The following is an 11,678-nucleotide window of genomic DNA, read 5'->3' on the forward strand; positions in this document are numbered from 1 at the left end:
CTCAGAAAGCTTCTGTCTACTATTTATGTGAAGATATTTCCTTTTTCACCATATGCCTCGAAGGGCTTCCAAATGTCCCTTTGCAGATTCTACAAAAAGACTGTTTCCAAACTGCTCAATCAAAAGAAAGGTTCAACTCTGTGAGATGAATGCACACATCACAAAGTTTCTCAGAAAGCTTCTTTCTGTTTTTCTGTGAGGATATTTCCTTTTTCACCATAGGCCTCAAACCGCTCAGAATATCACTTTGCAGATTGAAAAGAAGACTGTCTCCAAACTGCTCAACCAAAAGAAAGTTTCAACTCTGAGATGAATTCATGGATAACAGAAACGTTTCTCAGAAAGCTTCTATCTAGTTTTTATTTGAAGATATTTCCTTTTCCACCATAGGCCTCTAAACGCTACAAATATCCACTTTCAGATTTTCCAAAAAGAGTGTTTCAAAACTGCTCAATCAAAAGAAAATTTCAATTCTGTGAGATGAATGCACGTACCACAAAGAAGTATCTCAGAATGCTTCTCTGTAGTTATTATGTGAAGATATTTCATTTTTCACCATTTGCCTCAAAGGGCTCCCACACATCCCTTTGGAAATTCTACAAAAAGACTGTTCCCAAACTGCTCAACCAAAAGAAAGTTTGAACTCCATGAGATGAATGTACACATCACAAAGAAGTTGCTCAGAAAGCTTCTGTGTAGTTTTTATGTGAAGATATTTCCTTTTTCAACATAGGTCTCAAACTGCTCAGAAATATCCATTTGCAGATTCTACAAAAAGATGGTTTCCCAACTGTTAATCAAAAGAAAGGTTCAGCTCTTGGAGATGAATACACACATCACAAAGAAGTTTCTCAGAAAACTTCTGTCTAGATTTTATGTGAATATATTTCATTTTCACCATAGGCCTCAAAGGGATGGCAAATGTCAGTTCGCAGATTTTACAAAAAGACTGCTTCAAAACTGCCCAATCAAAAGAAAAGTTGAACTCTCTGAGATGAATTGACACATCACAAAGAAGTTCCTCAGAAAGCTTCTGTCTATTTTTTATGTGAAGATATTTCCTTTTTTTCACCTTAGGCCTCAAATTGCTGAGGAATATCCCTTTGCAGATTCTAGAAAAAGACTGTTTCCAAAGTGCTCAATCAAAAGAAACGTTCAACTCTGTGAGATGAATGCACACATCACACAGAAGTTCCTGAGAAATATTCTGTCTAGTTTTTATGTGAATATATATCCTTTTTCACCATAGTCCTCAAAGGGCTCCAAAATATCCCTTTGCAGATTATAGAAAAAGACTGTTTCCAAAATGCTCAATCAAAAGAAAGGTTCAACTCTGTGAGATGTATGCACACATAACAAAGAAGTTTCTCAGAATGTTTCTGTCTAGTTTTTATGTTGAGATATTTCCTTTTTCAACATAGGCCACAAACAGCTCACAAAAATCACTTGTAGATGGTTGAAAAAGACTGTTTCCAAACTACTCAGTCAAAAGGAAGTTTCAACTCTGTGAGATGAATGCATACATCAAAAAGTAGCTTCTCAGAAAGCTTCTGTATAGTTTTTATGTGAAGATATTTCCTTTTTCACCTTAGGCCACAAATATCTCAGAAACATCCCTTTGCGTATTCTAAAAAGACTGTTTCCAAACTGCTCAATCAAAAATAGGTTCACATCTTCTAGATGAATGCATAAACCACAAAACAATTTCTGAGAAAAAAATCGGTCTAGTTTTTATGTGAAGTAAATTTCTTTTTCAAAATAGGCCTCAAACATTTCCCAAATATCCCTTTGCCGATTGTAGAAAAAGAGTGCTTTGAAACTGCTTGATCAAAAGAAAGGTTCAATTCTGTGGGATGAATACACACATCACAAAGAAGTTTCTGAGAAGGCTTCTGACTAGTTTTTCTGTGAAGATATTTCCTTTTTCACCATAGGCCTCAAAGGGTTCCCAAATATCCCTTTGCAGATACTACAAAAACTCTTTCCAAACTGCTCAATCAAAAGAAAGTTTCAACTCTGTGAGTTGAATGCAAAGATTACAAAGAAGTTTCTCAGAAGACTTCTGTCTAGTTTTTTGTCAGGGTATTTCCTTTTTCACCATAGGCCTCAAACCACTGAGAAATATCCCTTTGCAGATTCTACAAAAAGACTGTTTCCAAACTGCTCAATCAAAAGAAGTTTCAACTCTGTGAGATGAATGCTCGCATCACAAATAAGTTTTTCAGAAAGATTCTGTCTAGTTTGTATGTGAAGATATTTCATTTCTCAAAATAGGCCCAAAAATGCTGTCAAATATCTCTTTGCGGATTCTACAGAAAGACTGTTTTGACACTGCTCAATCAAATAAAGTTTCAACTCTGTCAGTTGAAGGAACACAAAACAAAGAAGTTTCTCAGAAAGCTTCTGTCTAGTTTTTACGTGAAGATACTTCCTTTTTCACCATAAGCCCCACACCGCGTAGAAATATTCCTTTGCAGATCCCACAAAAAGACTGTTTCCAAACTGTGCAATCAAAAGAAAGTTGCAACACTGTGAGATGAATGCACACTTCTTCAAATCTGTGAGATGAATGCACACATCACAAAGAAGTTTCTCAGAAAGCTTCTGTCTAGTTTTTTTGTGAAGATATTTACTTTATCACCGTAGGCCTCAAACCACTCAGAAATATTTCTTTGCAGACTTTACAAAAAGACTGTTTCCAACCTGCTCAATCAAAAGAAAGTTTCTACCCTGTGAGATGAATGCACACATTCCAAAGAAGTTTCTGAGAAAGCTTCTGTCTGGTTTTTATGTGAAGATATTTTCTTTTTCACCACAGGCCTCAAAGGGCTCCCAAATATCCCTTTGCAGATTCTACAAAAAAAAAACTCTTTCTAAACTGCTCAATCAAAAGAATATTTCAACTCTGTGACATGAATACACGCATCACAAATAAATATCTCAGAAAGCTTCTGTCTAGTTTTTATATAAATATATTTCCCTTTTCGCCATAGGCCTCAAAGGTCTCCCAAATGTCCCTTTGCAGATTCTATAAAAAGAATGTTTCCAAACCGCTAATTCAAAAAAATGTTCAACATTGTGAGATGAATGCACTTATCACAAAGTAGTTTCTCAGAAAGCTTCTGTCTGGTTTTTATGTGAAGACATTTCCTTTTTCACCACAGGTCTCAAACATGTCAGAAATATCCCTTTGCAGACTGTACAAAAAGAGTCTTTCCATACTGCTCAATCAAAAGAAAGTTTCATCTCTGTGAGATGAATTCATACATCTTCAAATCTGTGAGATGAATGCACACATCACAAAGAAGTTTCTCAGAAAGCTTCTGTCTGGTTTTTATGTGAAGACATTTCCTTTTTCACCACAGGTCTCAAACATGTCAGAAATATCCCTTTGCAGACTCTACAAAAAGAGTCTTTCCATACTGCTCAATGAAAAGAAAGTTTCATCTCTGTGAGATGAATTCACACATCTTCAAATCTGTGAGATGAATGCACACATCACAAAGAAGTTTCTAAGAAAGCTTCTCTCTAGTTTTTATGTGAAGATATTTACATTTTAGTATAGACCTCAAAGCCTCCTCAAATATCCCTTTGCTGATTCAACAAAATGATTGTTTCCAAGCTGCTCAATGAAAAGAAAGGTTGAACTCTGTGAGGTGAAAGCACACATCACAAAGTAGTTTCTCAGAAATCTTCTTTCTAGTTTTTATATGAAGATATTCCCTTTCTCACCATGGGCCTCAAAGGTATCCCAATTATCCCTGTGCAGATGCTACAAAAAGATGGTTTCCAAACTCCTCAATCAAAAGCAAGGTTCAACTCTGTGAAAGGAATGCAAGCATCACAAATAATTTACTCAGAAATCTTCTGTCTAGTTTTTATGTGAAGATATTTCCTTTTTCACCATTGACCTCAAATGTCTCCCAAATATCCCTTTGCAGATTTTACAAAAAGGATGTTTCCAAACTGCTCAATCAAAACAAAGTTTCAACTCTGTGAGATGAATGCATGCAATGGAAAGAAGATTCTCAGTAAGCTTCTGTCTAGTTTTTATGTGTATATATCTCCTTTTTCACCATAGGCCTCACAGGGATCCAAAATATCCCCTTGCAGATTTTACAAACAGACAGTTTCCACACCGGTCTACGAAAAGATAGGCTCATCTCTGTGTGATGAATGCACACATCACCAAGAAGTTTTGCATAAAGCTTCTCTCTAGTTTTATTGTGAAGATATTTCATTTTTCACCATAGGCCTCAAAGCAACCTCAAGTATCCCTTTGCAGATTCTACAAAAAGACATAAGCTGCTAAATCAAAAGAACGTTTCACCTCTGTGAGATGAATGCACACATCACAAAGAAGTTTCTCAGAAATCTTCGGTCCAGTTTTTATGTGAAGATATTTCCCTTTTCACCATAGGCCTCTAAGGGCACTCAAATATTCCTTTGCAGAGTCTACAAAAGACAGTTTCCAAACTGCTCAATCAAAAGAATGGTTCAACTCTGTGGGATGAATGCAAGCATCACAAAGAAGTTTCTTAGAAAGCTTCTGTCTAGTTTTTATGTGAAGATAATTCCTTTTTCACCACAGGCCTCTAAGGGATCCCAAATATCCCTTTGCAGATTTTACAAAAAGACTGTTTCCAAACTGCTCAATCAAAAGAAAGATTTAACTCTGTGAGATGAATGCATGCATCACAAAGAAATTTTGCAGAAAATTTCTGTCTAATTTTTATGTGAAGATATTTCCTTTTTCAACATAGACCACAATGCACCCTAAATATCCCTTTGCAGATTCTATAAAAAGACTGTTTCCAAGCTGCTCAATCAAAAGAATGGTTCAACTCTGTGAGATGAATGCACGTATGACAAAGAAGTTTTTCAGAAAGCGTCTGTCTGTTTTTTTGCAAAGATATTTCCTTTATCAATATATGCCTAAAATCGCTCAGAAATACCCCTTTGCAGATTCTACAAAAAGACTATTTCTAAACTGCTCAATCAAAAGAAAGTTTAAAATCTGTGAGGTGAATGCACACATCACAAAGAAGTTTTTCAGAAAGCTGCTGTCTAGTTATCATATGAAGATATTTCCTTTTTCACCATAGGCCTCAAAGTGACATGAAATATCACTTTTCAGATTCCAAAAAAGATTGTTGCCAACCTGCTCAATCAAAAGAAAGGTTCAAATCTGCGAGATGAATGCACACATCACAAAAGGGTATCCTAGATAATTTCTGTTTAGTTTTTATGTGAAGATAAATCCTTTTCAAAATAGGCATCAAAGGGCTCCCAAATATCCCTTTACAGATTGTAGCAAAGCAATGATTCCAAACTGTTCAATCCAAAGAAATATTTAACACTGTGAGATGAAAGCTCACATCACAAAGAAACTTATGAGAAATCTTCTGTCTGGTTTTTATGTGAAGTTATTTCCTTTTCCACCGTAGGCCTCAAGGGACTCCCAAATATCCCATTGCAGATACTACAAAAAGACTGTTTCCAAACTGTTCAATCAAAAAAAAGTTTCAACTATGTGTGATGAATGCAGGCATCACAAAGATGTTTTTCAGAAAGCTTCTCTCTAGTTTTTATGTGAAGATATTTCTTATTCACCATAGGCCTCAAAGGGCTCCCAAATATCCCTTTGCAGATTCTACAAAAATACTGTTTCCAAACTGCTCAATTGAAAGAAAGTTTCTACTCTGTGAGATGAATGCACACATCTCAAAGAAGTTTCTGAGAAAGCATCTGTCCGATATTTACATGACGATATCTCCATTTTCACCATAGACCTCAAAGGTCTCCCAAATATCCCTTTGCAAGCTCTACAAAAAGACTGTTTCCAAACTGCTGTATCGAAAGAAAGGTTCAACTGTGTGAGATGAATGCACACATCACAAAGAAGTTTCTCAGAAAGCTTCTGTGAAGTTTTCATTTGAAGATATTTCCTTTTTCACCATAGGCCTCAAATCACTCAGATATAACCCTTTGCAGATTCTACAAAAAGAAGGTTTCCAAACTGCTCAATCAAAAGAATGGTTCAACTCTGTGAGATGAATGGAAAAATTAACAAGAAGTTTCTCAGAATGTTTCTGTCTAGTTTTTATGTGAAGATATTTCCTTTTTCACCACAGGCATCAAAGGGATACCAAATATCCATTTGCAGATTCTACAAAAAGATGGTTTCCAAACTGCTCTATCAAAAGAAAGGTTCAACTCTGTGAGATGAATTCACGTATCACAAAGAAGTTACTCAGAATGATTTTGTCTAGCTTTTATGTGAAGGTACTTCCTTTTTTACCGTAGGCTTCAATCCACTCAGAAATATCCCTTTGCAGATTCTACAAAAAGACGGTTTCCAAACTGCTCAATCAAAAGAATAGTTCAAGTGTGGGAGATGAATGCACCCATCACAAAGAAGTTTCTCAGGAAGTTTCTGTCTAGTTTTTATGTGAAGATATTTCATTTTTTTCACATTAGGCCTCAAACCGCTCAGAAATATCACTTTGAAGATTATCCAAAAAGACTGTTTCCAAACTTCTCAATGAAAGGAAAAGTTCAACTGTGTGATATGAATGCTCACATCACTAGGAAGTTTCTCAGAAAGCTTCTGTCTAGTTTCCATGTGATGATATTTCCTTTTTCAAAGTATGCCACGATCCGCTCTGAAATATCCATTTGCAGATTCTACAAATAGATGGTTTCCAAGCTTCTCAATCAAAAGAAATGTTCAAATCTGTGAGATTAATGTACGCATCCCAAAGAAGTTTCTGAGAAAGTTTCTGTCTAGTTTTTATATGAAGATATTTCCTTTTTCACCATAGGCCTCAAAGAGCTTCCAAATATCCCTTTACATATCCTACAAAAAGAATGTCTCCATACTGCTCAATAAAAAAAGATTCAACTCTGTGAGATGAATGCACACATCACAAGGAAGTTTCTCAGAAAATTTCAGTCTAGTTTTTATGTGAAGATATTTCCTGTTTCATCATAGTCCTCAAACCACTCCAAAATATCCCTTTGCAGATTCTACAAAAAGACTGTGTCCAAACTGTTCCATCAAAAGAAAGTTTCAACTCTGTGAGATGTATGCACACAGCACAAAGAAGTTTCTCAGAAAGTTTCTCTCTAGTTTTTATGTGAAGATATTTCCTTTTTCACCATAGGCCTCAAAGCTCCCTTTAATATCACCTTGCATCTTCCTCAAAAAGTATGTTTCCAAATCACTCCATCAAAGGAAAGTTTCAACTCGGCGAGATGAATTCACACATCAAAAAAGAGTTTCTCATCAAGTTTCTGTCTAGTTTTTATGTGAAGATAATTACTTTTTCAATATAGGCCTCAAAGGGCTCCCAAATATCCCTTTACAGATTCTAGAAAAGGACTGTTTCCAAACTGCTCAATCAAAAGAAAGGTTAAAGTCTGTGAGGTGAATGCACACATCGCAAAGATGTTTCTCAGAAAGTTTCTGTCTGGTTTCTGTCCGTTTTTCACAGTGGGCTTCAAAGGGATCCCTAACATCCCTTTCCAGATTCAAGAAAAAGACTGTTTCCAAACTGCTCAATCAAAAGAAATTTTCAACTCTGAGTTGAATGCACACATCACAAAGAAGTTTCTCAGAAACCTTCTGTCAAGTTTTTATGCATAGTTATTTCCTTTTTCACCATAGAACTCAAAGGGCTCCAAAATATCTTTTGCAGATTCTACAAAAAGACTGTTTCCAAACTGCTCAATAAAAAGAAAGTTTCAACTCTATGATATGAATGCACATATCACAAAGAAGTTCCTCAGAAAGCTTCTGTCTAGTTTTTATGTGAAGATATTTCCTTTTTCACCATAGGACTTGAAGGGCTGCTGAATATCCTTTACAGATTCTAAAAAAAGACTGTTTCCAAACTGCTGAATTAAAAGAAAGTTTCAACTCTGCGAGATGAATGCACACATCACAAAGAAGATTCTCAGAAAGATTCTTTCTAGTTTTTTGCAAAGATACTTCCTTTTTCACAATAGGCCTCAAACTGCTCAGAAATGTCACCTTGCAGATTCTACCAAGAGACCGTTTCCAAACTGCTCAATCAAAAGAAAGTTTCTACTCTCTGAGATGAATGCATTCATCACAAAGCAGTTTCTCAGAATGCTTCTGTCTAGTTTTTATGTGAAGATATTTCCTTTTTCACCATAGACCTCAAACCGCTCTGAAATATCCCTTTGCAGATTTTAGAAAAAGACAGCATCCAAACTGCTCAACTGAAAGAAAGGTCCAACTCTGCGGGATGAATGCAAACATCACAAAAGAGTATCTCAGCAAATTTCTGTCTAGTTTTAAAGTGAAGATAACTCCTTTTTCAATGGGGGCTTAAAAGGGGTCCCAAATATCCCTTTGCAGATTGTAGAAAAGGACTGTTTCAAAACTGCTCAATCAAAATATATATCCAACTCTGTTAGAGGAATGCACATATCAAAAAGAGGTTCTTCAGAAAGCTTCTGTCTAGTTTCTATGTGAAGATATTTCCTTTTTCACCATAGGCCTAGAAGGGCTCCAAATATCCCTTTGCAGATTCTACAAAAAGACTGTTTCCAAACTGCTCAAGCAAAATAAAAGTTCAACTCTGTGAGATGAATGCACTCATTACACAGAAGTTACTCAGAAATCTTCTGTCTAATTTGTATGTGAAGGTATTTCCTTTTTCACCATAGGCCTCAAAGGGCTCCCAATTATCAATTTGTGGATTCTACAAAAAGACTGTATCCAAACTGCTCAATCAAAAGAAAGGTTCAACTCTTCTAGATGAATGTACACATCATAAAAGAGTTTCTCAGAAAAATTTTATCTAGTTTTTATGTGAAGATAATTTCTTTTTCAAAATAGGCCTCAAAGGGCTCCCGAATATCACTTTGCTGATTCTAGAAAGGACTGTTTCCAAACTGCTCAATGAAAAGAAAATTTCAACTCTTTGACATGAATGCACACATCACAAAGAAGTTTCTCAGAAAGCTTCTGTCTAGGTTTTATGTGAAGATATTTCCTTTTTCACCATAGCCCTCAAAGCACCCTCAAATATCACTTTGCAGATTCCACAAAAAGAATCTTTCTAAACAGCTCAATCAAAAGGAAGATTGAACTCTGTGAGATGAATGCAAACATCACAAAGAAGTTCCTCAGAAAGCTTCTTTGTAATTTTTATGTGAAGGTATTTCCTTTTTCACCACAGGGTTCGAAGGGCTCCCAAATATCCTTTGCAGATACTACAAAAAGACTGTTTCCAAACTGCTCAATTAAAAGGAAAGGTTCAACTCTGTGAGATGAATGCAAACATCAGACAGAAGTTTCTCAGAAAGCTTCTGTCTAGTTTTTTGCAAAGATATTTTCTTTTTCACCATAGGCCTCAGACCACTCAGTAGAATCCCTTTGAAGATTCTACCAAAAGATTGTTTCCAAAATGTTCAATTAAAAGAAAGTTTCAACTCTGTGAGATGAGTGCAACCATCACAAAGAGGTTTCTCAGAAAGCTTCTGTGTAGTTTTTATGTGAAAATATTTCCATTTTCACCCTAAGCCTCAAACTGTTCTGAAATATCTCTTTGCGGATTCTAGAAAAAGACTGTTTCCAAACTGTTGAATCAAAAGAAACATTCAACCCCACGAGATGAATGCACATATCACAAAAGAGTATCTCAGAAAATTTCTGTCTAGTTTTAAAGTGAAGATAACTGCTTTTTCAATGTAGGCCTCAAAGGGGTCCCAAATATCCCTTTGCAGTTTCTATAAAAAGAATATTTCCAACCTTTTCAATCAAAAGAAAGGTGCAACTCTATGAGATGAATGCACACATCATAAAGAACTTTCTCAGAAAGCTTCTGTCTACTTTTTATCTGAAGATATTTCCTTTTTCACAGTAGATCTCAAAGGGCTCCCAAATACCACTTTGCAGATTCCACAAAACGACTGCCTCCAAACTGCTCAATCAAAAGAAATGTTCAATTCTGTAAGATGAATGAACACATCATAAAGAAGTTTCTCAGACGCATCTCTCTGTTTTTTATATGAAGATATTTACTTTTTCATCATAGGCCTCAAACAGCTCAGAAATATCCCTTTGCAGATTCTGCAAAAAGAATGTTTCCAAAGTGCTCAATCAAAAGAAAAGGTCAGTATTGTGAGATGAATGCATGCATCACAATGCAGTTTCTCAGAAAGCTTCTGTCTAGTTTTTGTGTGAAGGTATTTCCTTTTTCACCATAGGCCTCAAAGTGCCCTCAAATATCACTTCGCAGATCCTAGAAAAATACTGTTTCAAAAACTGCTCAATCATAAAAAGTTCAACTCTGTGAGATAAATGCACACATCACAAACAAGATTCTCAGAAAGGTTCTGTCTACATTTTATGTGAAGATATTTCCTTTTTCACAGTAAGCCTCCAAGGGTTCCAAAATATCCCTTTGCATGTTGTCCATAAAGAATGTTTCCAAGCTGCTCAATCAAAAGAAAGTTTCAACTCTGAGATGAATGGACACGTCACAAATTAGTTTCTCAGAAAGATTCTACTTAGTTTTTATGTGAAGATATTTCCTTTTTCACCATAGGCCTGAATCCTCTGCATAATATACCTTTGCAGGTACTACATATAGACTGTTTCAAAACTGGTCAATCAAAAGAAAATTTCAAATCTGTGAGATGAATGTGCTCATCAAAAAGAAGTTTCTCCAAATGTTTATGTCTAGTTTTTATGTGAAGATATTTCCTTCTTTACAATAAGCTGCAAATGGATCCCAACTATCCCTTTGTAGATTTTATGAAAGCCTTTTCCAAGCTGCTCAATCAAAAGAAAAGTTCAACTCTGTGAGATGAATGTACACAATCCAAAGTAGTTTCTCAGAAAACTTCTGTCTAGTTTTCATGTGAAGATATTTCCTTTTTCACCATATGCCTCAAAGGGCTCCAAATATCCCTTTGCAGATTCTACAAAAAGATTCTTTCCAAACTGCTCAATCAAAAGAAAGTTTCAACTCTGTGAGATGAATGCATACATCATAAAGAAGTTTCACAGACAGCATCTGACTAGTTTTTATATGAAGATATTTCCTTTTTCACAATAGGCCTCAAATCGCTCAAAAATATCTTTTGGAGATTCTACAAAAAAGACTTTCCAAACTGCTCCACCAAAAGAAATATTCAACTCTGTGAGGTGAATGCATGCATTACAAAGAAGCTTCTCAGAAAGCTTCTCTTTAGTTTTTATGTGAAGATATTCCCTTTTTCATCATTGGACTCAAAGGATTACAAATATCCCTTTGCAGATTCTACAAAAGAACTGTTTCTAAACTGCTCAATCAAAAGAAAGGTTCAAACATGTGAAGTGACTGCAAGCATCACTAAGGGGTTTCTCAGGAAGCTTCTGTCTAGTTTTTATGTGAACATATTTCCTTTTTCAGCATAGGCCTCAAAGCACCCTGAAATATCACTTTGCAGATTCTACAAAAAGACTGTCTCCAAGCTGCTCAAGCAAAAGAAATTTTCAACTCTGTGAAATGAATGCACACATCACAAAGAAGTTTTTCAGAAAGCTTCTGTCTAGTTTTTATGTGAAGATAATTCCTTTTTCACCATAGGCCTCAAAGAGCTCCCAAATATCCCTTTGTAGATTACACAAAAAGACAGTTTCCAAACGGCTCATTCAA

At 35.7% G+C, this 11,678-nt stretch overlaps 1 annotated feature.

The window, feature by feature from the left end:
- Window positions 7,474–8,023: an enhancer, noted in NCBI's record as "OCT4-NANOG hESC enhancer chr11:54928734-54929283 (GRCh37/hg19 assembly coordinates)". NCBI's record gives its function as "activates a minimal SCP1, AML or CMV promoter by ChIP-STARR-seq in primed H9 embryonic stem cells {active_cell/tissue: H9 hESC(primed)}" and the evidence as "EXISTENCE:reporter gene assay evidence [ECO:0000049][PMID:30033119]".

The sequence above is a fragment of the Homo sapiens genome, chromosome 11, assembly GCF_000001405.40.
Source record: "Homo sapiens chromosome 11, GRCh38.p14 Primary Assembly".
In the NCBI taxonomy this organism is placed as follows: domain Eukaryota; kingdom Metazoa; phylum Chordata; class Mammalia; order Primates; family Hominidae; genus Homo; species Homo sapiens.